The 26,586-nt window shown below is 46.5% G+C and overlaps 1 pseudogene across 3 annotated transcripts, besides 3 other annotated features; it reads left to right on the forward strand.

Annotated features, from left to right (window-relative positions):
* Positions 2,330-2,928: an enhancer, noted in NCBI's record as "H3K27ac hESC enhancer chr7:5013544-5014142 (GRCh37/hg19 assembly coordinates)". NCBI's record gives its function as "activates a minimal SCP1, AML or CMV promoter by ChIP-STARR-seq in naive H9 embryonic stem cells {active_cell/tissue: H9 hESC(naive)}" and the evidence as "EXISTENCE:reporter gene assay evidence [ECO:0000049][PMID:30033119]".
* Positions 2,330-3,020: a biological region, named in NCBI's record as "H3K27ac hESC enhancer GRCh37_chr7:5013544-5014142".
* RNF216P1 (ring finger protein 216 pseudogene 1) lies at positions 2,402-26,586 on the forward strand (annotated as a pseudogene). Of its 3 annotated transcripts, NR_023384.1 has the most exons (8): positions 2,402-2,578; positions 4,718-4,853; positions 12,088-12,190; positions 13,327-13,492; positions 14,984-15,048; positions 17,480-17,594; positions 23,892-23,999; positions 25,027-26,586. The product of NR_023384.1 is annotated as a ring finger protein 216 pseudogene 1, transcript variant 1 (transcript). The 3 variants fall into 3 exon arrangements; NR_015449.1 differs by lacking the exons at positions 14,984-15,048; positions 23,892-23,999; NR_023385.1 differs by lacking the exons at positions 14,984-15,048; positions 17,480-17,594; positions 23,892-23,999.
* Positions 2,641-3,020: a silencer, noted in NCBI's record as "silent region_17906". NCBI's record gives its function as "represses an Ori minimal core promoter by ATAC-STARR-seq in GM12878 lymphoblastoid cells {active_cell/tissue: GM12878}" and the evidence as "EXISTENCE:reporter gene assay evidence [ECO:0000049][PMID:35858748]".

Below are 26,586 nucleotides of genomic sequence, written 5' to 3' on the forward strand. Positions count from 1 at the left end.
GTTCGGGAATAATGTCCTCTATGACAACACCAGCACACCTTCATGTAGATACGGCTGATGACAGTTCTTGGGAACAAAATGATGATGGACAAATTGTGAATAATGGCGGTCCTCCACTACTGTCAATGATTTCACAGGTCAGATGCACATTAAACTAACTGTAACCAGAAAATGCAATGAAGCCGTGCCGTGATGACTCATGGGGTGGGGGAGTTACAGCCTCGGCTCTCGGGCAGGCTCACGGGGTGAGTGCAGGTTGCACGCCTTTGGCCGTAACTGCATGGAATTACAGCCAGCACAGATGATACGGATTTTCATAGACAGAACTTCCATGCTTCTTCCCAGGAAAACAGCAAAACATCACTTGTTGACAATAGTTTAGTCTGCAGGTAGCTATCTTGCCCTTTCTGATTCTTGGTGCTGGTTAACATTAAGACAAAGAAAACAGGCCGGGCGCGGTGGCTCACGCCTGTAATCCCAGCACTTTGGGAGGCCGAGGCGGGTGGACCACCTGAGGTCAGGAGTGCGAGACCAGCCTGACCAACATGGAGAAACCTTGTCTCTACTAAAAATACAAAATTAGCTGGGTGTGGTGGCACATGCCTGTAATCCCAGCTACTCAGGAGGCTGAAGCAGGAGAATCACTTGAACCTGGGAGGCAGGGGTTGCGGTGAGCCGAGACGGTGCCATTGCACTCCAGCCTGGGTAACAAGAGTGAAACTCCGTCTCAAAAAAACAAACAAAAACAGGCCAGGTGCGGTGGCTCAAGCCTATAATCTCAGCACTTTGAGAGGCCGAGGCAGGAGGATCACTTGAGGCCAGCAGTTTCAGACCAACCTGAGCAACATAGAAAGACCCTATCTATACAAAAAAACTTAAAAAATTAGTCAGGCATGGTGGCACACACCTATAGTCCCAGCTACTCAGGAGGCTGGGATGGGAGGGTCCCTTGAGCCTGGGAGGTCAAGGCTGCAGTGAACTATGATTGATTGAGTCACTGCAGTCTAGCCTCACTGACAGAGTGAGACCCCAACCCTCCGCCCCCCGAAAAAAACAGGGCCGGGCACAGTGGCTCACACCTGTAATGCCAACACTTTGGGAGGCCGAATCAGGCAGATCACCTGAGGTCAGGAGTTCGAGACTAGCTTGGCCAACATGGTGAAATCCTGCCTCTACTAAAAATACAAAAATTAGGCGGATGTCGTGGCGGGCGCCTATAATCTCAGCTACATGGGAGGCTGAGGCACGAGAATCACTTGAATCCGGGAGGCAGAGGTTGCAGTGAGCCAAGATCATGCCATTGCACTCCAGCATGGGCACATGAGTGAAACTTCGTCTCAAAAAAAAAAAAAAAAAAAAAAAAGCCAGAGGCTTCAAAAATAACCTGAATGATTCCAGACTACCTAGAAGGAAGGAGTAGCTTCCTCTCACCCTCATTGGGAGAAATGCAGAGATAGGATAATTGTCTTTATGACTCCAAAAATGCCTGAGACAAGAACATGTCAACAAATAACTCCAATGAGAGCCTCTCAGTTCACATATGACCCCATTTCATCCTTGCAAGAACACCGGGCAATAGATAATATCTTAAAATTCCCATTTTACTAATAAAAAATTCCTAGCCAGACGTGGCAGTTCACACCTGCCATACCACCACTTTAGGAGGGCAAGACGGAAGGATAACTTGGACCCAGGAGTTCGAGATCAGCCTGGGCAACAAAGCGAGATTCTGTTTCTTTTTTTTTTTTTTTTTTTTGAGACAGGGCCTTGCTCTGTCGCGCAGGCTGGAGTGCAGTGGTGCGATCTCTGCTCACTGCAAGCTCCGCCTCCTGGGTTCACGTCATTCTCCTGCCTCAGCCTCCAGAGTAGCTGGGACTACAGGCATCCGCCACCACGCCCGGGTAATTTTTTTATTTTTGGTAGAGAAGGGGTTTCACCATGTTGGCCAGGCTGGTCTGGAACTCCTGACCTCAAGTGATCCACCCGCCTTGGCCTACCAAAGTGCTGGGATTACAGGCGTGAGCCACTGTGCCCAGCCGTGAGACCCACTTTTCTCTTAATTTCCCCAATTCCTAGAATAGTGCATGGCCCACAGGAAATCCGCAGAATATATTTGCAGAATGAATGAATGACTTGCCAAAGGAATTAGGGCAAATAAGTAGATATCGAGTAAACATCCACAACCACCTGCCCCATACCCTTTTCAGCTCTGGGGAGATGGTGGCTCCTGTGGGGTCGGGGATTGGGGGTCTCCGTTCCTTTCATCCTCCAGCCTCGTGGGGGAGTCAAGTCTCCGTAGGCGGAGAGCCCGGATGCAGGCGCGGCTAGGCTGCCCTCTCTATGGTGAGCCCCCCGGTCCCTCCTCCGCAGCACCCGGAGTGCCTCTATGGTTCTTCCTGTCGTTAGTCGGGAGGGGGCGCTGTACGCGCGCTGTACGCTTGCGCGAGGTGACGCCGGGGCAGGGCCGGAAGGAATGCAGCGGCTGCCACGGAGCTCGTAGCTGCAGCTTTGGAGGAGTAAGCGGCGTGGTAGCGAAGGTCGCCGAACCCGCCTGGCTAGCCGGCGAGTTGAGTGGCGAGTGAGTGTCGGCTGCGGGGCGCGCTCGAGCTTCTGGGCGGGTCTGTGAGGCGAGGCGGCCTCCCTGCGTGACGCCTCCGTTGAGCTGCGGGGGTGGGGGCGGGGGCGCGGGCCGTGAGCACCACAGAGCTGAGGGGCGCGGCCGAGGCCCGGGCGGGATCGGGCCGGGGAGCTGGGCTGGGCGTCTCCAAGCCCCCTGCGGTGGCGAGGCGGGAGCGACACCCTCCCGCCACTTCGCGAAGTTTCGCGAGCCGGCCCCTCGGGCCGCTTCCCTCCCTCGGGCCCGAGGCCGCCGCGGAGGCGGTGTCCGTGCACCCGAGCGCGGCCTGGAGGAGCGGCGGGAGGCGGCCCGTGCCTGTGAACCCCAGCCCAGGCGGGCGGCGTTTTTCCTCCTCTCCCCTCACATCTGGAGCGCGTGTTGTTCCGTGAAACTTGGCGACTGTCACCCGGCACTCGCGAGGGCGCCGCAAGTGCGTCAGACCTTTCTGCGGGGCGCTGGGGGCTGGCCCGGCTCGGGGGTCCGGGCGCTGGGCAGGGAGCGAGGCCGCTGTCCCCGCGTCGAGGTGGTTCTGCTCCCGGTGGAACGGGACCAGGGCTCTAAGACTTGGGCCACTTGCAGCCAACGTGGAGCGTGCGCGGCGTGCGGGTTACAGAAATTTCTGACAAATCCGCCAGGGCTCTGTGAATCCTTAAGGGCCTGGGTAGCAGTTGTCCTAGGTACTTTGATAGTGCAAAGAGAACGTTATTATTTTTTTTTTTTTCCTTTTTTTGAGACGGAGTCTCGCTCTGTCGCCCAGGCTGGAGTGCAGTGGCGCGATCCCGGCTCACTGCCAGCTCTGCCTCCCGGGTTCACACCCTTCTCCTGCCTCAGCCTCCCGAGTTGCTGGGACTACAGGCGCCCGCCACCACGCCCGGCTAATTTTTTGTATTTTTTAGTAGAGACGGGGTTTCACCGTGTTAACCAGGATGGTCTCGATCTCCTGACCTCGTGATCCATCCACCTCGGCCTCCCTAAGAGCTGGGATTACAGGTGTGAGCCACCGCGCCTGGCTGTATTTTTTAATTTAATATTTAAATATGTATTTAAAATTTGTGTATGAATTTACATAAATGGTATCACACTTTCATTTAACGTTAATTTAACTGTGTTGTATCATATGAATTTTATTTATTCCTTTATTGAAGTCCAGTAAGGCCATTTCCAATTGCTTTTATTGCATATTTGCTGTAATGACCACCATCCCTGTCCGTATATTCTATTATGCATATTTCTTGGAGAACACACAGAGGTTTCTTTAGCTAATATACCTGGAAGTGGAATTGCTAAGTCACAGGGAATGTACATTTGTAATTTAGGGCGTATTGCTGATTGCTATTCAGAATATCTTTTCCAAGTTACTATCCAAACCAGCAATGTATAAGATTTCCCATTTCTTACATACTTGCCTTTTTTGCCACCCCAGTGGTTTGAAACATAATTCCTTTTTTTTTTTTTTTTGTGACGGAGTCTCACTCTGTTGCCCAGGCTGGAGTGCAGTGCGGCGATCTTGGCTCACTGCAACTTCAGCCTCCCGGGTTCAAGCGATTCTCCTGCGGCAGTGTCCGGAGTGGCTGGGATTACAGGCGCGTGCCACCATGCCTGGCTAATTTTTGTATTTTTTAGTAGAGCTGGGGTTTCACCGTGTTGGTCAGGCTGGTGTCCAACTCCTGACCTTGTGACCTGCCCGCCTCGGCCTCCCAAAGTGCTGGGATTGTAGGCTTGAGCCACTGCGTCTGGCTGAAACATAATTCATTTTCTGATTTGCCTTTCCCTGATTATTAGTGAGGTTGAGCATCTTCTGTGTTTTCTTTTTTGTGAATTGCCTATTAATACCCTTAGCCCATTTCTTTGTTAGCATATTTGTATCAAGATGTCATTTCTCTGTCAGTACTTTGTCTCTTTAATATGTGTATTTTAAACATATGTTTTAATGTCATAGGTTTTGAGTTTGTGTGGTTTTTTTTTTTTTGACCCACCTCCTTGGATATGTTTTCTTAAGGAATGTTTTCAGCATAAGCTTCAGATGTCCCCCTGACCAGATACATGGCAAGAGTTTTGATACTCCCTCATTCTTACTGTTCCTCTTTGCTTCCTTTTCAGCTCTTTTGAAACAGATGGTCACCATGTTTAGATATTAGCAGTCCCGTATGTGCATGTCTGCATTTGAAAATGGAAGAGGGAAACAACAATGAAGAGGTAATTCACTTGAACAACTTTCACTGCCATCGGGGACAAGGTAAGTTGTTTGTTCTCACTTCATCCCTTTCCCTGTGGCTTTTTCCTTTTAGTATCACAGCTGTATCTTTTGAAATGAACCTATTTTGTACCATTTAGAATCCAGGGACATTTCATTTTTGACATAAAAAGACTAGTTAGACTAGAATTATATCAGATAATGATATTGCTGGCATGAATGAAGTGTAAGACTCATTCATTGCAACTGGATTAATAAGCTGTTAATTTACTGGCAAGACGCTGTTAATATGTAGTCATTGAGTCTTAAGAGACAGTGTCAGCATCAGTTTTTGAAGGCGTGGTGATTATAAAGGAGTGCTCCACTAGGCATTTATGATCTGAAATACTACAGGTGATGCTGAACCAGTCTTGTCCTCCCATGATGCCTAATTTCTTTTTTGCCAGAAGATTCTGGCTTAGCCTTGAGGGGAATTTTGGAACATGTATTTTTTTGTTCTGCAGTTTTGGTTTTTTTTCTTTCTTTTTTTGAGACGGAATTTCGCTCATTGCCCAGGCTGGAGTGCAATGGCGTAATCTCGGCTCACTGCACCCTCCACGTCCCGGGTTCAAGCGATTCTCCTGCCTCAGCCTCCCGAGCAGCTGGGATTATAGGCATGTGCCACTATGCCCTGCTAATGTTGTATTTTTAGTAGAGATGGGTTTTCTCCATGTTGGTCAGGCTGGTCTTGATCTCCTGACCTCAGGTGATCCGCCTGCCTCGGCCTCCCAAAGTGCTGGCATGAGCCACCCGCCTGGCCACATTTGTTAATTTTCATTACAAAAGGGATAAATATGGGCCAGACAAATGGCTCACACCTTTAATCCTCGCACTTTGGGAGGCTGAGGCAAGAGGATTGCCTGAATCCAGGAATTCAAGGCTGCAGTGAGCTATGTTAGGCTACTGCACTCAAGCGTGGGAGACAGATTGAGACCTTGTCTCTATTTAAAAAAAATTTGTTATGATAAATATGCTGTTTTAAAAAATAAGTTCTCCTGAAGAATATAAAATGAAAAATATACTCTTTCCCCTCCTTCTGATCTGCAGAGGTGAAATAGTTGTAAATTTTTTTTTGTTTTTTTGGAGACGGAGTCTTGTTTTGTTGCCCAGGCTGGAGTGCGGTGGTGTGATCTTGGCTCACAGCAATCTCCACCTCCCGGGTTCAAGCAGTTCTCCTGCCTCAGTCTCCTGAGTAGCTGACATTACAGGCGTACTCCATCACGCCTGGCTAATTTCTGTATTTTTAGTAGAGACAGGGTTTCACCATGTTGGTCAGGCTGGTCTTGAACCCCTGACCTCGTGATCTGCTCGCCTTGGCCTCCCAAAGTGCTGGGATTACAGCCATGGGCCACCATGCCCAGCCTGGTGGTAAATTTAAACAAAATAGACAGTTCACTGAACACCTGTCCTCAAAGTTCGTATCTTATCCTGTAGTTCTCAGTCTGGGGTGCAGGTGAGTTTCTTCCCTGCCAAGGCTGAGAAGGAAGGTCCCCTTTCCAGGTACTTAGCCCAATGTAGGTACTTTTTTCTGATTTGTACAGTGACACTGTTGGAGCCAATAGTGGCCTTGTCTGATCCCACCTCTGTACAGAGGCAACCACCGTCATCAGATTTATTTATATTTATTTATTTATTTATTTTCGAGACGGAGTCTCACTCTGTCACCTAGGCTATAGTGCAGTGGTGCGATCTCAGCTCACTGTAGTCTCCACCTCCCAGGTTCAAGTGATTCTCCTGCCTCAGTCTCCCAAGTAGCTGGGATCACAGGCATGCGCCATCTATGTCTGGCTAATTTTTGTATTTTTGGTAGAGACGGAGTTTCCCATGTTGGCCAGGCTGGTCTTGAACTCCTGACCTCAAGTGATCCACCTACCTCAGCCTCCCAAAGTGCTGGGATTACAGGTGTGAGCCACTGCACCTGGCCTTCCCTTAATCTTTATCAATTTTGCTTAACATGCTTCTCAGTAAGGCAAAACCATTAAGAGTATACACTACCTGGCCATAGATTGGTGATGTTGGTCAGTTCTGGAAATTTTGTAGCTGTTTCCTGTCTTCTGTAACTCTTCTCCCACAGTCTCCAAGTCTCTAAGTCCACCTCTTTGTCTCTGAGATGCATTCTGGATGATTTCTTCAGATGTGTCTTCTAGCCCACAAATTTCTCTTCAGTAGAATGTAATCTTCTTTTAACTCATCCACTGTTTTTCGGTTATGGTATTTTAGCTTTTAATTCTCTTGGTTATTTTCCTAGAGTTTTGCTCTTTGCCTATATTTTTAGTCTTTTTTAAATTTCTTTAACCAATAAACATAGCTTCTTTGTGAGTTTGATTGCTGTGATCTGTTAAGTTCTTGGGAATCATATTCTGTTTTTCCTGCTGGCTCCCATGGTGCCTCGTTTTCTTGTGTATTTTCTAAGTTTGACTCTAAGCTCATGTCTTGAGTTCTTGATAGAGTTGGTTTCTTTATAGAGAATTGCTTTTGCTTCTTTCAAGTCCCCGAGGGCAGTGTCAGTTTGAAACGACTTTAGATTCCTGTCTTGAAGTTTTCGGATTACACAAACTCTTTTTTTTTTTTTTTAAGACGAAGTCTCAGTCTCTTGCCCAGGCTGGAGTGCAGTGGCGTGATCCTGGCTCACTGCAGCCTCCGTCTCCAGGGTTCAAGTGATTCTTCTGCCTCAGCTTCCTGAGTAGCTTGGATTACAGGTGTGCACCAACATGCCCAGCTAATTTTTGTATTTTTAGTAGAGATGGGATTTCACCATGTTGGCCAGGCTGGTCTCGAACTCCTGACTTCAAGTTACCCCCCTGCCTCAGCCTCCCAAAGTGCTGGGAGACGTGAGCCACCGTGCCCTGCAAACCTTTTATTTATTTATTTATTTATTTATTTATTTATTTATTTATTTATTTATTTATTTTGAGAGAGAGTTTTGCCCTTGTTGCCCAAGCTGGAGTGCAGTGGCATGATCTCAGCTCACTGCAACCTTCGCCTCCCAGGTTCAGGTGATTCTCCTGCCTCAGTCTCCCGAATAGCTGGGATTACAGGCATGTGTTACCTCACCCGGCTTGGATTACCCAAACTCTTAAAGCATTTTTTATTTTTCAACAAGAGACTCTACCTGGGTATTTAACCTTCCTTACAGTGAGGAAAGAAAGCCATTTGGTTATTTACATGCCAGTTACTCACTCTTCTGAAGCCTTTCCACATATTCTTTATTGTGTATAGTTTTTAAACTTGGTTATTGTATACCAATGTGTATATAATATACATAAAGAAAAATGAACAAAATAAAGATGCACAGCTCAATAATTTATCACAAACCAAACATTTATGGAACCACAACCCAGAAATCTTCAAGAAATAGAATGTTGCTATCCTCTTTAAACACTACATAAAGATTTTGTATAGTCTTCTTTTGCATCTGACTTCTTTTCACTCAGCATTATGTTTGTGAGGTTTATTCACGTTGGGTAGAGCCACAGTTTATGTATTTTCCATTGCTAAGTGGTATTCCATTTATATCACTTAGCAATGAAATTTCCCATCTACTTTTGATAGGCATTTGAGTTCTGACTGTCACAAATAATGTAGCTGTGAACATTCTCCTGCTTGTCTCCTGAACTCTACTTGCCCCACACCCTGGCATCCACCTTCCTATTGGCTATGTTTGTGTCTTCAACAGAATTGTTTGTTGGAGATTTTTTTCCCCTCCTAAGCTTTTAAAATACTTTCTTTTTGGGTTTCCAAGTGGTGTGATAATAACTACATTTTTTTAAATTACTAAGCTTTATTTTTTAGAGCAGTTTTAGGTTTACAGGAAAATTGAGCAGCAATGACTACATTTTTACAATGAAAACTTTCTTGTAGGCTTCTACTCATCTAAAAAGCAACTTATATGTGTGAATTGCTTTAACAACTCTTCGACAATACTGAGTTATGTTATTTTTTGTAGTTAACTAGGGTAGGCATGAAGTAGCATAAGTGACATTTCTTTGCTAATTGGCTGTGTTTTTCAAATATTTGTTTACTAATTGTATTTCCCTTGCGTGTGAATTGTTTACTTCTCTCTTCTCTTTGAATTCCTAATGTTTCCTGGTTATGAAATGTAATACAGGTTTGTTCATTACAGAAAATGTAAATGATAGAGAAAAGTATAAACTTAGCTCATTTATAGAACAATGATTTGAATACCAGATACCATGTTTTAGTATTTTTTAACAATTTAACCTCATAGAAATTGAGTATATTCAATGTTTTTGTCTCCTTCTGCAAATGAAGAGGGATGTTTAAATATATCTTCAAGATTGTCTAGAAAAATCACTAAAATGTAATCAAATTGACACCTTCTCTTACAGTTCTGTTCTCCTACTTCCTGAGTCTCACACGTGTAATTATTTTTAGGGTCTTGCTGTCCCTCTGTGCTTTTTGTGTCACTCAGAAACATTGATCTTTAAACACATAAAAATTCTCATGAAATCTAAAAAGCAAGGGAATGTACGGTCACTGTATTCCATCTTTTCAAGCCAATCTTGTTTTCCTGACACTGCTTTCCTTTCCATTATTCTCTGGACTCCTAGGACAGTGTTAACTCCACAACTAAACTAAAATGTTAATGGAAACTGGAAATAAGGCCCAAAGCTGAGTTGAGCAGACTGGGATTTTGTTGTAGCTCAGTCTCAGTTGCTTTATGTGCGTCTTTAAATGGCCTTCAGATGGAACCATCTGGCCATTTTAAGCAGGAAGGGCCTATTCATTAGAGAACCACGTGGCAGGTAATCTACTCTGGCTGGTTAACTTAGATCTTTCACTCACACGTGGTCAACTTCAGTTGGATGAAGGCAGCAACAACTATCTAAGGGTTGAAAGATTGGAGTACGGCTGGGCGCGGTGGCTCACGCCTGTAATCCCTGCACTTTGGGAGGCCGAGACGGGTGGATCACAAGGTCAGGAGATCAAGACCATCCTGGTTGACACGGTGAAACCCCGTCTCTACTAAAAATAGAACAAAATTAGCCGGGCGTGGTGGCGGGTGCCTGTAGTGCCTGCTACTCGGGAGGCTGAGGCGGGAGAATGGCATGAACCCAGGAAGTGGAGCTTGTAGCTTGCAGGAGGTGGAGCTTGTACCGCTGCACTCCAGCCTGGGCAACAGAGCGAGACTCAGTCTCAAAAAAAAAAAAAAAAAAACTGGAGTACTAGCCTGGCTTACTTTGCAGGAGTGCCTTCTCTAGAACTGCTAGCATGTCAGATCAGCTCAAGCATGAGGTCATATGAAGACGTGGGCAGACTGAAGTCCGACAGGCTTCCCCACTGCTTTTGCCCCAGGGTGCAGATATTAGAACAGAGGCTACCACTTGTTTCTGTAGAAGAAAAACTTTGTCCTTCATTTCCTGTGCCTCCAAATGTCACTTAACCTCCAGAAGAGTTCTGTTGGTAAGCATAATGAAGGGATTAAACTAGAAATGAATTTTGACAGTTTATAGTGAGAGCTTCTGATTTCTGCCATGTGGAACTTCATGTCTGTAGCATTTCAGTATTTGAAGTTCTTAATATTGTTGCAAATATAAAATGAATTGGGGAGAGATGAACCTCTCAAACATGTTTTGTTTTTTCAAGAAATCATATCTACTGTTCCATCTGTATTTCATGTAGAGGTGTACTTATGTATCATTTACTTGAGAAAACACATAAAAACAGACCATTTTAAAGCTAGTCCGTGTCTGGTTTGTCGCCACATCAAATATGCACATGTAATGAGTTGTCTGGAACTCAGGCCTTTCCCTACAGACGCGATTTTTGCTGGTGGCTAATTCTCAGGTCAGCCTTCAAAGGTTTGCATAACCTCATTGCACACCAGTGAATTCTAGGACGGAGAATTACCACTGATGACAATGGTTTTAAAGGAAAATGTACTCTGAATTCTTGTCGCCCTCTGTAATAGGAGGAGTTTGCTGCTTTTTTTCCTCTCTTTGGGCCTCTGGCGTTGTCTTCTGTGGACTGGGCAGGCTGTGGTGGTAGGGAAGGGGGGAGCTTAGAGATGAAGAGTATGTGGGACTCCTGAAGTAACGGCAAAGGGAAATGCATTGAGATGTCAAGATGAGGGAGAAGGCTTTGACATGGGTCCCCAGCGGGGGCTGTAGAATCAACGAACCTCTCCAAACCGGTCCCCAAACACTGGCACCTGGATGAGAAAAGGAGCAGAGCTGAGCACTTTTTCTCTGCCCTCTTTCTGCCAGACCTCCTGTTCTACTATTACAGGCCTTACTATTGACATCTGGCAAAAGAGAACCAGTAGAAAGGGAAGTGTGTGAGAACTGCAGGTATAGCACCTAGGAGGTCATCTTAGAAATCTACTGGAGCAAGAGAAAGAACAGAGAAAAGGGGAAGTCCCCATTACCCTCCGAGCAAAGAAGCTTCCTTGCTACTGAATGTGGCTAGAGCTGTACCCCACCCACTCTGTCTGCACTACTGTGCAGTCGTTCCAAGGTGGTTGTCTGATTTGACTGTGAAGAGCCTGGATAGTTAACATCTGTTGGGTCTGGGTGGTGATACATCAGTGTGTGTTATCTCACTCTATATAGCCTTACTTTGGAAGTATTTCATGCTGATAATAGACAAAGCTAGTGGGTTTGGTGTGAAGAGAGTCTGTTCATAGGAAAACATGATCTGTTCATCAGTCTAGCTTAGCAGCTAGCTAAATAAATGAAGTGTAACTCAATGGCTCATAGAGCTTTATATTACCATAGAGATTTATGTTACCACAGGGGTATAAAAAGTATTAATGAATTAACAGAAGGTCTTTTATATTTCATTTATTTATTACATCTCTTAGCAGACTGTTTTTACTGTAAATGTGAACACACAGTTTTCCACTTCTTTCTTGTTCATAGTTTTCTTGACAAAGAGTAGCTACTTTTCTTTCAAATTTTCCAATTTTGTAGTTTAACCAATAATAGTTTCAGTGACTTCAATACATTAACACCCAATTGATACATAAACTTCAGAGGAGTTTGCCTTAATCAGTATGTTCATTGCTTTTTAAATTTTTTATCTTTCACAAAGATAGAAATTCAGTGCAGTTGTTTGTTTATTTGTTTAGTTTTTCTGGGCTACAAACATCTTAATTTCTTGATAGGCCAGTTGTAACGTGTGACTAAGGACTATATTCTTCAGACATTGCATTTGAAGCAATGGGCAGGTGTGGGATTTGGAAGCAGTATGAAAGTAACATCATTTGTTTCTGCAGACTTTGTAATTTTCTTCTGGAAAACCCAGATTATCCAAAGAGAGAAGACAGAATCATTATAAATCCCAGTAGCAGTCTGCTGGCCAGCCAAGATGAGACAAAGGCAAGTGTCATGTTCATGTTTTGCAGTCACTGCCTGGAAATGCTGTGCTTTGTTGTTGTTGTTGTTGTTGTTGTTGTTATCTCTGTGGGAAGAAGGTGCTTTGTTGGGACAAGTTTTTAAAGACTAGCCGAGGGACATAGGATTTCAGAATATATCTATACTTCAGTGCGATCTCCCAGTCTGAGCCACTTTGAATTCTGTCTTTAACTTCTATCTTTCCTTGTAATTCTTATCTTCCTTTTCCCACAAAGAATTGAACGAATCCTCCATATCTGTAATCCTACAAAGCAAATTCCTAAAGCAAAACAAGAATTGGCCAAAACTCTTAACATTTTATTATGAAAATTTTCAAACCTACAGAAAAATTGAAATATTTTACGTTGATCACCTGTATACCTACCACTGGTACTACTAAAAAGTTAACAGTTTACTGTATCCTCTTTATCATACATATGTCCTCTGTCTGTCCATCAGCACATCTTTGTTATGTTTCATTTCATGATAATGCATTTCAAAGTAAATTGCAAAAACATCAGTACACTTCCCTGTAAGTACTTCAGCATGCAGATCATTACCCAGAGTGGAATATCTTTTTTCTTTTGATGTGAGATTTGTATACAGCGTATCCTATACATCTGTTTAACCAGATCTCATATCAAGATGTAAACAGTTTGGTTTTTAAAAACTTTAATCATTGTCATTATTTGTGATCTAAACTGGCATTTAGTTTGTTACATGGTAAAGTATGGTTGAGAACTAACTTTATTAAGATGTGTTGCTTGATCTTCCAACTCCCCATAGATTCTTTGACTATCTCTCTTACGTATTCTATAATAGAAAAAAAATAGTTGTTTGTAAATATGGTATGGAAAGAAGATGGCTGTAAGATTGGTTTAAATCCCCAACTATACTTCTTTACTAGTTATAACTAGTAAAACTAGTCTGCCGGCTCCAGACAGGTTTGTTTAACCTCTCTGAGCCACCATTTTCTCATCTCTCTTATAGGGCTGGTAACTTCCTTATAGAGTAATTAGAACAAATGTTATTCTTTTCTGCACATAAATTCTTAAAATGATTTCCCCTACATGGGAAATGTACTGCCTGGCCTTTGATTTTATGCTTCTGTCTCGTTTCAGTTGCCTAAAATAAGACTTTTTTGACTATTCTAAATTGACTCCTCTTGACCAGCACTGCTTCATCCAAGCTGCTGACCTCCTCATGGCCGACTTCAAAGTGCTCAGTAGTCAGGACATCATGTGGGCCCTGCACGAGCTCAAAGGACACTATGCAATCACCCGAAAGGTACTCTACTTGGTCTTCCTGTTGGGGTCACACCTCTTGACTACATCTTCACACGGTAACAGAATGAACAGCTTGTGGAAATTGGGATGGTTTATGATTGCTAAGGAATTTATGAGGGTGAAGATAAATAGATGGGTATTTGCTGATCGTGAAGGGCTAAATGAAAAGAAATAATAGATAGATGAGAAGTAGAGAAGTTCTGCTTTGACCGTAAAAACATGGAGGGTAATACATTCTACTGTGGAATGCAGGAGTATGAGAGATGCGTTCTAATCCTGCTCCTTCCTGATTTGCTTTCCGACTTGGGACAGGTCACACAACCATCCATCCCCCAGGTGGCTCAGTTATCAGTGATAGGACGTAAGGTCTGTAGAGAGTCCGGGAACACAGCAGTGCCCCCTCAGAAGAGAATGGGCAGCTACTGACAGCTCCCAGCGTTCTCCCCCCAGGATCCTAAAATAGATGGCACTTAAAGGCCTTGGTTGAGGGTGAGGAGGGTGCTGGTTTGTGGTGGGTAACACAGGCGTCTTCCATGAAGGACAGCACACGGTGCATGCTTTGTAGCTGTGGCCAGAACAGGAGCGCACGCACCAGCAGAGACCTTGGCTTACTCCTCTTGGTCGCTCTTACTGCCATTAAATTCTATTCTACTGAAATTCTTGTGATTCTCAGCAACACAGTGATGTTTCTTTTGTCCAAAGGACAAACGTGGAGTTATCGTAGTGGTTAAAATACTCATTGGGTCTTACCTGTAGGAAGGGAAGAACCAAGCCAAGGACTGTGGCTTATGCTGAGGTCTAGGCCAAGCCCCTTCCACCTTTTTTTTTTTTTTTTTTGAAATGGAGTCTCGCTCTGTCGCCCAGGCTGGAGTGCAATGGCGTGATCTCAGCTCACTGCAGCCTCTGCCTCCCCAGTTCAAGCGATTCTCCTGCCTCAGCCTCCTGAGTAGCTGGGACTATAGATGCTCACCACCACGCCTGGCTGATTTTTGTATTTTTAGTAAAGATGGGGTTTCACCATGTTGGCCAGGCTGGTCAGCAACTCCTGACCTCAGATGATCTGCCTGCCTCAGCGTCCCAAAGTGCTGGGATAACCTCGTGAGCCACTGCACCCGGCCAAAAAAAGACTGAAAGAAAAATAGGCTTTGAAAGGGTAAAACAGGAGGCAACCTAAGGTAGACCAAGGGTCTCCACAAGGGCCTCCCTGAGCAAGGGACATTTAATCACAGACCCACATAGGAGTTTGGTGAAAGGGGTCGTGGAAGATGTTAGTATCATTTATTGGGGTGAGAACTAGTATAAACATCTGCTTTGGAGAGAAATAATCATGAAATCAGTCTGGGAAACGTTGGTTGCCAATGTGCTGAGAAGGGCCTGTGAGACATCTGAGTAAAAATAATTCATTGGGAGGTTGAATGGACTAGAAAGTTTGGAAAATACAGACTGTAGATAGGATTTTTTTTTTAAATCTCCTTGGGTTTTATGGTGATAGGACTTTGAGAGTCATCAGCATATGGAAAATCTCACCAGCCAGGATGAGGTACCCAGAGATACCAGGTGAGAAGAGAGGACTCCTGACATGTAAAGACCAAGCGGAGGAGGCAGGCAGACAGGAAGGAGGAAGTTGAGAGACTGGAGCGTCCGTATTATCATCATCATCATCATCATGGTTATTCTTGTTTAGAAACAGGGTCTCTCTCTGTCACCCAGGCTGGAGTACAGTGGCCCAATCATGGCTTATTGCAACCTTGACCTTCTGGGCTCAAGCCATCCTCCTGCCTCAGCTTCCCATGTAGCTAGGACTGCAGGTGCACGCCACCACACCTAGATGATCTTTCTATTTTATTTTTTGTAGAAATGGGGTCTTGCTAGATAGTGCAGGCTGGTCTTGGAACTCCTGGCGTCAGGCTATCCTCCCACCTCAACCTCCTAAAGCACTGGGTTGCCACCATGCCCAGCCTATGTTATTAAATGCTGCTAAGAGTTTGTGCAAGATGAGGACTAAAATGTAGATGGTAGACTTGTAGACTTGGCCACTCAATAATAAGCATAGATTAGTAAGTGCAAAGGCAGGGTAGATGCCAAATTAGAGACAGCTGGAAAGCTTGTGCTCATAAGGGTGAGGTGGTGAAACAGCAGATAAACAGCTCCTTTGATAAGTTTCTCTACAAAGAGGGGAAGAAGAAAGAGGGGCTGGCATTGAAAGAGAGATGAGATCACCTTCTGAGCACCGCCACACTGGGGATTAAGTCAGCAGGAGTTTCAGACAAACACTGCATCATAGCCACCCACCTTCTCATTGCCACCCAGACTGGGACCCCAGCCTGCCCTGCACCCTAACAGCGTAGCCACAGGACATGAGCCCCGAGGCCTCGTATCCCCTGCCACAGTCAGGAGTCCCACCCAGTCTTCCTGAAAGGCTCCCACTCTTCCTCCTCTTCCAGGCAGAATGGCCTTACCTCACACACCCTTCCTTCCATTTCACATCAGGTACCCCTTCTCCCTCCTGTTTTTAGGATGGCAAAGACTTGAGCACTTTTTTTTTTTTTTTTTAGACAGAGTCACACTCTGTCACCTAGGCTGGAGTGCAATGGTGCGATCTCAGCTCACTGCAACTTCCGCTTTCCAGGTTCACCGATTCTCCTGCCTCAGCCTCCCAAGTAGCTGGGATTACAGGTGCATGCCACCACGTCCAGCTAATTTTTTGTATTTTTAGTAGAGACGGGGTTTTGCCATGTTGTCCAGGCTGGTCTTGAACTCCTGACCTCAGGTGGTCCACCTGCCTTGGCCTCCCAAAGTGCTGGGATTATAAGCGTGAGCCACCGCGCCCACCCTGACTTGAGCACATTTAAATCCTGATAAGGAAAATCTAACAGGGAGAAGCTGAAGGTAGGAAAGAAAAGGGATCCTCACCAGTGGAAGGATTTTGAACTCCAGCATCCTGTTGAAGGGTGGGGTGGATATAGGTGCACGCAGAGAAGAGTGTGGGGGAAGCAGGTTAGGGGAGAGTAAAGAGGAGCATTGACCAGAGAAACAACATGGAAGATTTGCCTATAGAATGGGACTCACCAGCCCATTGTCGTGTGATTTAACCTGTACTTATTCAAGGACAGCTTGGACAGTTTTGTTTTGTTTGAGACAGGGTCTCCTGTGTTACCCAGGATGGAGTGCAGTGGCGCAATCATGGCTCACTGCAACCCTGCCTCAGGCTCAAGTGATTGTCCTATCTTAGCCTCCGAGTACCTGGGACCACAGCTGTGGACCACCACGCCCAGCTATTTTTTTGTATTTTTAGTAGAGACGGGGTGTCCCCATGTTGCCCAGGCAAGCCTTGAACACCTAAGCTCAAGTGATCCACCCCCGTCATCCTCCCACAGTGCTAGGATTACAGGTGTGAGCCGCTGCACCCAGCCAACAGTTTTTCTTTTCCCTAGTTAGTCTTTAATCTGTCAGTAAGTATTTTGCTTCCACCACTGTACCAGTTTATGAAAGTCAGAGAAAATGAAAATAAAGAAATGCTGCCTATTTATTTTACCACTGCCTATTCCTTTTTTTTTTTTTTTTTTTTTTTTTTTTTTGAGACATAGTCTCACTCTTGCCCAGGCTGGAGTGCAGTGGTGCAATCTTGGCTCACTGCAACCTCCGCCTCCCGGGTTGAAGCCATTATCCTGCCTCAGCTTCCTGAGTAGCTGGGATTACAGGCGTGTGCCACCATGCCCGGCTAATTTTTGTATTTTTAGTATAGACGGGGTTTCACCATGTTGGCCAGGCTGTTCTCGAACTCCTGATCTCAAAGGATCCGTCCGCCTTGGCCTCCCAAAGTGTTGGGATTACAGGCTTGAGCCACCGCACCCAGCCGCCACTACCAGTTGTTAGCCATGCTGGGAAGAAAGCTGAAACTGTGTTAAAATGGCATTTGGGGGTTGCCTGTCTCATGTATTCTTATTTTCCATTTACAGAAGGAACCTTTCCCTTTCTCAATTTTTAGGCCTTTTCTGATGCCATTAAAAAATGGCAGGAGCTATCACCAGAAACCAGTGGAAAAAGGAAAAAGAGAAAAGAAATGAACCAGTATTCTTAAATTGATTTCAAGTTTGAACAAGGTAATGCAAACTATGTTGGTGGCAGTGTGTAGCTGCAACACCGTACCTTCTTCACAGTCAGTGAAGGAAGCTGTGCTACAGGTGTCTGCTGAGCATCTGGACAGGAACTATTTTCTCAGCACGTCAAAATTTTTAGAAAGTGGCTGCCCTTGTTGGCTTCCTTCTTCCTACTTAAGATAAACTGTGAGAGGAAAATTTTGTGTGGTGTTAGAAAATTCATGTGTGAGAAGGTATTTGAGTGTGCTGTTAAGCTTGGGGGAAAAAACTGGTCTCGAAGGTTTGATGCGAATTGGCTGTGTTATTAGGTAAAAACTACCCAGACTTATGAATGAGGGCTTACTGCAGAGGGTCACTTATGCAACTGAGAGAATGGCTAATAACCACGTTTCTCCAAAATTCTGTCATTCTTATTGGTGAAATAACTGCTGAAAACCCTTTTGAAGAGGTTACTTCAGGTCTGATCCCCAAAAATGTAAACTTGAGTGTTATAACAACTCAGATTTTATCTGAGTTACTTCCACCCAGTAAAGGAGTTTACTACAACTTTTCTAGAGATCATCCCTTTCTGTTACATGTGTACTTAATTACCACACTTGATTTCAGGTATGACTAAGTGGAAACTCAGGTAACTATAAAGCTGGAAAGTATTTGTATTTACTATGAACTTTTCAGGCTCTAAAAGAAAATCCCTTAGGCTATGACCCCTGAGGTTCCTAAGCCAGTCTGTGGAGCAGTGCTCTGCTGACATGACATTGGCCCTGGCCTGTGGCAGAATGTAGAACTAGGGACAGTGTGCAGGTGGTTTTTCATTCAGCCAGATTTACCCAGAGTTCAGAACAGGCATCCTTGTACATAGCCATACAGCGTTTGTTTCTGACTTCAGTGGTGGAGAAAGTGCTACTTTGCAAGATAGTTGACTTCCTTGTTGGTCAGCTCTGTCTTTTAGACAGTTCTTCCTTTATATTTGTCAGCATGTACTTCCTGAAATGTCCTGCCATGGTTGTAGTTCTTGCCTGTGGAGAGAGATTCTGGCTGTTGCCCATTCGTCAGCCTGACTGCCCTTCTCCTCTTCCTGTGCGCCCCCCTCTAGCTTGTCAGGGTCTCTTTGAAAGTTGGGGTATAGAAGACTGCACATCATACTCCACATGAGGTCTGCTCACATTCAGCCTTGCTCTTTTCACCCACATTGCTGTCAGGTCATAAACCTGTCTCAGTTTTGGTGCATCTCACATTTTCCCCTGTTAACTTCATTTTATTTGATTCAGTTTCTTGTTTTAGGTATAGCACTTTAATTTAGGTGCTGATTCTTTAATTTTACTTATCAGATAATCTTGAAGGACCCTGGAAGTATAAGATAGAAAATACACTTGATTTACGTTAGTAGTTTAATGTTTATGGCTCACACTTAGCCTATTTTAACAGCTTTTTATAAGGACACAGGCTAAGAATCCCTCATCTGTTCCAGGGATTCCATTTTTCTCCTTTTCAGTTTGTTTTCCATGGAAGCACTGCTCTTTGGGCTATAATTGCTTGACTCAAACAGTGAGACAGGGTTCTCCCTCCTCTGTCCTTTTTATGGTCGTGCAGGAAAATACATTAGAGGGAAGTTTATAGACTTAATTGCATTTATTTTTAAAAATAAAGGACTGAGGCCGGGCGCGGTGGCTCACGCCTGTAATCCCAGCACTTTGGGAGGCCGAGGTGGGCGGATCACGAGGTCAGGAGATTGATACCATCCTGGCTAACACTGTGAAACCCCGTCTCTACTAAAAATACAAAAAATTAGCCGGGCATGGTGGCGGGCGCCTGTAGTCCCAGCTACTCGGGAGGCTGAGGCAGGAGAATGGCATGAACCCAGGAGGCGGTGCTTGCAGTGAGCCGAGATCGCGCCACTGCACTCCAGTCTGGGTGACAGAGTGAGACTCCATCTCAAAAAAAGTAAATAAATAAAAATAAAGGACTGAAAATAAATCTTACTACTTTAACGTGATAAACTACAAAAAGAACCGAGTAAAGATGAAAGAAATAATAGTGAAAATTTTAATTTGTAGCATTGATAATTATAGTAATTAACATTTATTGAGCACTTAATATGTACCAGTCACTTTTCTAAGTGCTTTAATGGATTATTTCATTTATGTTTCAAATAGCCTTATGAGATGTATGTGCCATTGTTATCATTTTATAGAAAAAACTGAAGCACAGAGAGGTTAAGTAACTTGGCAGATGTTACACAGCTAGCGAGTAGCCGAGCTGGGAATCTGGCTTCAAAGCTTACTCTCTAACCATGTGCTTTTCTGTTCCCATAATACCAAAAACTGGTTTTGTTTTTTGTATTTTTTTTTTTAATTTTGAGAGGGAGTCTGCTTCCCAAGCTCAAGCAATTCTCCTGCCTCAGCCTCTCAAGTAGCTGGGTTTAATTACAGGTGTGCGCCATCACGCCTGGGGGTTTCACCATGTTCAACAGGTTGGTCTCGAACTCCTGACCTCAGATGATGCACCCTCCTCGGCCTCCCAAAGTGCTGGGATTACAGGCATGAGCCACACTGCGCCTGGCCCCAAAAACTTGTTTTCTGAAGAAAAAGTTTGAATTTAAAAATATGTGAGAATGAGCAAGAGAAAAGGAGAATCAAAATAAAATGTATTAGTAACCAGATAGTAAATGTTAAGATCAAGAGATTACCAAGAACAGACAAGCCCACCCTGCCTGCCTGCTCTTCAGTGTGTTATTGGGTCCTTCCAAGGGAAGTGACAGTACATGTCTGGTGAATGAGCTTGTGATGAGTGAATGGGATTCCCTCCCAATAGGCAACTGAGAGCAAAGTTCTGGGTGGAGGGTCCTTGGTGCATCCTCCACTTACTCTTCATGCCAATGGGTACCTCAGGCCTGTCTGTCCAACCTCTGGACTTTCTTAACTCTGCCCCAGTCTCCATCCTTAACCACTCAGGGCCAGCCTCTTACATGGGATTCCTTCTTCCAATCTAACCCTCCTCCAGCCCCTCCCCTGTGTGGCTGGGGTAAGGCAGAGTCTGATCCCATCTGGCCTGGCCTGTGCCCAGAAGTGCCCAAGAGGCAAGTGTCCTCTTGCCCACAGGACCCCAGGAGATGATGGGCACACTAAAGTTTGAGAACTACTGCCTCAGGCAACTTTATAACATGCCTTTCCAATTCAGGTTTGGATCCAAATCCTCATTCCAGTACTTATTAGCTGCTTATAATTTTTTGTTTGTTTGTTTTAAAGAGGCAGGGTCTGGTCAGGCTTGGTGGCTTATGCCTGTAATCCTAGCAGTCTGGGAGGCTGAGGTGGGCGGATCACTTGAGGTCGGGAGTTCGAGACCAGCCTGCTGAAAATGGCAAAAGCTCATCTCTACTAAAAATACAAAAGTTAGCCAGGTGTGGTGGCGCATGTCTGTGATCCCAGCATCCCAGCTATTCCGGAGGCTGAGGCAGGAGAATCGCTTGAAGCTGGGAGGTGGAAGTTGCAGTGAGCCAAGTTTGTGCCACTGCACTCTAGCCTGGGCAACAGGTCACAGAAGCAGACTCTGTCTCAGAGGAAAAAAAAAAAAAGGCAGGGTCTCTGTTGCCTGGGCCAGAGTGCAGTGGCACAATCATGGCTAACAGTGGCCTTGAACTGGGCTCAGGCAGTCCTCCTGCGTCAGCCTCATGAGTAGCTTGGACTACAAGCTCGTACCACCAGGCCCAGCTAATTTTAAAAAATTCTTTGTAGAGATGGGGCTTGCTGTGTTGTCCAGGGTGGTCTCAAACTCCTGGCCTCCAGTGATCCTCTTGCCTTGGCCTGTCAAAGCGTTGGTATTACAGGCGTGAGCCACTGCACCCAGACCTTATTAGCTTCTTGATCCTGTTTCTCCATCTGTAAAATGGGCTCTTGTGAGAAGTAAACAGGACAAGGTTTGTGATGAGCTTGGGACAGTGCTTAGCCAGCAGGAGTAGGTGTATCGATCCCCCCCTTTGTTTTTTTTTTTTTGAGATGGAGTCTCATTCTGTCGCTAGGCTGGAGTGCAGTGGCAAGATCTTGGCTCACTGTAACCTCCGCCTCGCAGGTTCAAGAGATCCTCCTGACTCAGCCTCCTGAGTAGCTGGGACTACAGGCGTGCACCACAACAGCCAGCCAGTTTTTTGTATTTTTAGTAGAGACGGGGCTTCACCGTGTTAGCCAGGATGGTCTCGATCTCCTGACCTTGTGATCCACCCGCCTCGGCCTCCCAAAGTGCTGGGATTACAGGTGTGAGCCACCACACCTGGCCTCGATCCCCGTTTTACAGATCAAACAAGTTCAGTGAGGTTAGGACATTGCCGAAGGCCCCATAACATGGATGTGAGGAGCCAGGTTGGACCTGTGTGCATTCATTAGATGGGTGGGAGGCTGAGGAATTCACAGGACGCTAACCTGGCCCTCTGGACATCTGTGTGTGCTGCTTAGGTGCATGCAGGAGCGGGGGCAGGGGCTGCTGGTGTGGCAGCAGGAGGAGCCCTCTGAGTTTGACTTGGCCTACGCCAATTTCCTCTCCCTGGATATCAGCATGCTGCGGCTCTTTGAGACCTTGGAGACGGCACCACAGCTCACGCTGGTGCTGGCCATCATGCTGCAGAGTGGCTGGGCTGAGTACTACCAGTGTGAGTGAAGGCCAATGGTTGGTCCCCCTGTCGTGGCTTGGGAGGTCTCTCTCAAATGTCAGAACTGTTTTTATTCTTTTATAAAGGCTGCTTAGAAAACAGGATAACAGGCTTTAGTCAGGCAGATCTGGCTTGAAACCTAAAGTCATTCTGCAGCTGTTTGCGTTTGGACAAATGCCTTGACCTCTCTGAGTATGTTTGTTCTCATCTGAAAAATGGACATAAATCCTCCTGCCTCATAAGGTTGATGAAAGGATTAAGTGAGGTGATGCAAAGAAAGCCCATTTCCTGGTACATAAGTTCCTGGTACAGAGTCTCACTCTGTCGTCACCCATAGTGGAGTACAGTGGCCTGATCATTGCTCACTGCAGCCTCGACCTCCCAGGCTCAGTTGATCCTCCTGTCTCAGCCTCCTGAGTAGCTGGGACTACAGGCATGTGTCAACCATGCTGGCTAACTTTTCTTTTCTTTTCCTTTGTTTGGTAGAGACGAGGTCCCACGTTGTTACCTAGGCTGGTCTTGAACTCCTGAGCTCAAGTAACCTCCTACCTCAGCCTCCTAAGGTGCTGGGATTACAGGTGTCGGCCACTGTGCCTGGCCCACAAGTCTTAATTGTAACTTTTATAATTTTGAAGATAATAAAGTGTGTAAGGTGCCTGATACAGAGTAGGTAACTTTTTTGTTAAGAAACAATTTAATACGTTGGGATGTGCACAGGTTGCGTGAGGCCAGAGTTGGAGACCATCCTGGGTAACAGAGTGAGACCTCATCTCTTCAAATTTTTAAAAAAGAAACAAGAAACAATATATTGAATGCCTTCATCCAGTCGGGTTTTCATTGTGCCTCTCTTTTCTGCCTGTTACTGTGCTGGGGACACAGCAGTGAACAAGATGAACCCAGCCCCTGCGCTGCCAGGATGATAGACTAAAACAAGTAGCTACTGTATAGCATGTTGAGTGACTGGAAAAGGGAGAGGCAGGTGGCAGAGGCTCACAGGGCCCCCTAAGCATGGGTGAAGTTTATAGTGAGGAGCTTTGGGAGGGTTTTTGCCCATAAAGGGAAGGTGACTTGCCTGTTTTCACAGACTCAGACAGTGGCCAAGCTAAAGAGGGCCCCCACCCACATCCAACTCAGGGTCCAAGCCTTCCCCTTTGCCTTCCTCCACCGCTGCCATAAATGCCAGAGCCTCTCAAGGAACCAGTCCTCATTCTACCGTCACTTGCTGTGTGACCCGGAGAGCCTTCCTGTGGAAGATGGAGGTTGGACTCAATCTCCAAGGGCCCTTTCATCTTGTTAGTCTGAGTCTATGTATTGATTGAAAAAACAATAATAGCAGCTGTCACTGTTAGCCAGGTGCCAGCTATTAGCCAGGCCCGGTGGGAAGCACTTACAGTCATCATTGCTCATGTTCACAGCAGCCCTATAGGTTTGTGCTAGGTTGATCTCCATTTTTAAAGAGGTGCAGAAAGGTGAGTGACTTGCTCTGGGTCACTGGGCACTCACTGGGCACATGTTTTTGTCTGTTGAGGGTGGGGGAGGTCTAGAACCAGGGCCAAGTGCAGACAGTCTGCACTGCATGTATGGCAGGGGGTAAGGGGGCGAAACAGATTTTCCCTACTTTTTATTTAGCAAACCTCTCTTTCGCTGCTGTTATGTGCCAGGTACTGGGCTGCTGGGGGATCCCAAGTGAGCAGAGTCTGTTTTCTACCCTCGAGGAGCTCAGAGAAAAGGAAATAGATAATTACTGTGTGATGAGACTCCAGACAGAGGTGGGTGGCATGTTACAGGGATACCTGACACAGCTGAGTGGGTGGCGTGGGGTCAGGGTGGGGCCTGTGGGGTAATGGAGGAGTAGGCCAGGGAAGTGAGGCATGTGCTTTTGGTGACCTAACAGCCTGGGCAGAGCTTGTCAAGGTCACGGAAGGTGGCATGCTGGGGAAACTGGAAGAACATCAGCCCTGCTGAGACCTGGGTGAGGGTAACAGGCACAGCTCTGTTTCCAGGCTAGGTGTGGGTTCTGGGCGCCTAATAGGTTTCCAGTAAACGTCTGTCGAGTGACTGGGATGGACGGGGACGGGAGGAAGCAGTCAGGAGATGTGCCGGTGCCACTTGCATCCCTCCTTGGAGGCCCTTGTGCCTCTGCTCCAGGATGGGACAACCAGGAGATGGGATAGGACCCTAGGACCCCTGTTGTAAACTTCTGGATCTTGGAAAATCAAGACTAGGGGTCAGTCCGATGGCCTTTGGTCTTGGAGGGGAGGGAAGGGGAGTGGGGAGACCTTCTGTCCACACAGCAGGGACATCTTTCCTGGCCCTGAGGGCAGCTTTAGCCAGAGCCTGTTGCCACCCCATGGGATTTTCTACTCCCTTTTTGAGACTAAGAAAGAGGGAACTGAGACTGTTGATTTTCAGACACAAGAAAGGCTTGTGTTCTTCCCAGAAAGAAAGGGTTATGGGGCCCTGGAAGACGCCCAGGGTGCAGCCAAGGCCCAGGGGTGCTGAGTGCTGGGTGGGCCACAAGTCACACCCTCTCATCTTTGACAAATACCACCTGGATATAGCACCTGTGCAGCAAAGCACTGTGGTGAGGGGCAGGTTCCATGTTAGGAGTCGTAGCTTTGTTTTTGGTTACGGGAACTCGCTGGGTCTTCTCCAGCCTCAGATTTGCCTTCAACAAACGAGGGATTCTAATACCTACCCCAGGGTTGCTGGGAGGGCCCCCACGGTGCCCGCGACCCCTGGGGAATGCCAAGCAGGCTGGCTCCTGGACTCACTGTTCCCTCCTACTCCTTGCAGGGGTTGGCATCTGCACATCCTTCCTGGGCATCTCGTGGGCACTGCTCGATTACCACCAGGCCTTGCACACCTGCCTCCCCTCCAAGCCCCTCCTGGGCCTGGGCTCCTCTGTGATCTACGTCCTGTGGAACCTGCTGCTACTGTGGCCCCGAGTCCTAGCTGTGGCCCTGTTCTCAGCCCTCTTCCCCAGTATGTAGCCCTGCATTTCCTGGGCCTGTGGCTGGTACTGCTGCTCTGGGTTTGGCTTCAAGGCACAGACTTCATGCTGGACCCCAGTTCCGAGTATCCTCTATTTCTCCTGGTTCAACGTGGCTGAGGGCCACACCCGAGGCCGGGCCACCATCCACTTGGCTTTCCTCCTGAGTGACAGCATTCTCCTGGTGGCCACCTGGGTGACTTACAGCTCCTGGCTGCCCAGCAGGATTCCACTGCAGCTGTGGCTGCCTGTAGGAGGCGGATGCTTCTTTCTGGGCCTGGCTCTGTGGCTTGTGTGCTACTGCTGGCTGCACCCTAGCTGATGCTGGGAGCCCAACCCTGACCAGGTGGACAGGACCCAGAGTCTACTTTCCTCAGAGGGGTATCAGCTGCCTCAGACCCAGTTAGCACAGAACTTTTTTCCCAAGGGTAAGGCTGAGGCTGCTTCGCCAGTGAAGGGAGAGGTGAACGGCGTCCTTTGAAGCAGGATCAGACCCAGCCAGCAGAGATGGAGAGTGACTGCTGGCAGAAGGCAGGCGAGGATAAGCTAACGATGCTGCTGTGGCCTCCATGCACTCAGCAAGAGTGGGATGCCTCTGCTGGGCCGTGCACCAGGGATGGTGCTGAGTGGGGCAGAGGCCTGCCTTCAAGGAGTTCACAGTGAACAAGATGAGAAGGGCTGGGCCCTGCAGGGTCAAGAGCCCCAATTACGTACAAGACACTTTGGGAGGAAAGACGACTACCTTTTCTTTTCCCCCTGCCATTGGTATAGCTGGTGCCCCAAAACTTTCACCTCCCTCCCTGGCCACCTCTAAAATGATTGGTATAGGGGCTTCCCCACCCCTTAGCTCCCCTATCCTGGGCTAGAAGGCCACAGGGACTGTCCTCTAGAATTCTTCCTCCCCTCCCCCACACCATTCATTCAATTCGTGAAACAAATCTTCACCGAGAGCAGTTTATGTGCTAGGAACATCATTCTATCCTTGCAACCTGGAACAAGACCAGCTACCACCTTAGCTTCATCCCCTACTTGCACCAACCAGTCCCGGGTTAGATCTCAAATGCCGGAAGTCAGGGATGCCCAACTCTGGGCAGCCCCAGTCAGAACCTCTGGGATCTCAGTGAAGCTGGCCTGGCCTCTGCTCTTGCTCTCAAGGGGCTGCTTTTCAACCAAGAGCCTTGTGAGCCTGGTCTGAGCCTTGCACAGCCACTGAGTATTTTTTATTCCTTAGCCAGTGTACCTCCTACCTCAGAGTCTATGTGAGAGGAAGAGAATGTGTGTCCCTGTGGGTCTCTGCAAGTGACAGATGTGTTGTTTTTAACAGTATTATTAGGTTATGATTAAAGCCTCATGAAATCCTCTAA

The sequence above is a fragment of the Homo sapiens genome, chromosome 7 (genome assembly GCF_000001405.40).
Source record: "Homo sapiens chromosome 7, GRCh38.p14 Primary Assembly".
NCBI lineage: Eukaryota > Metazoa > Chordata > Mammalia > Primates > Hominidae > Homo > Homo sapiens.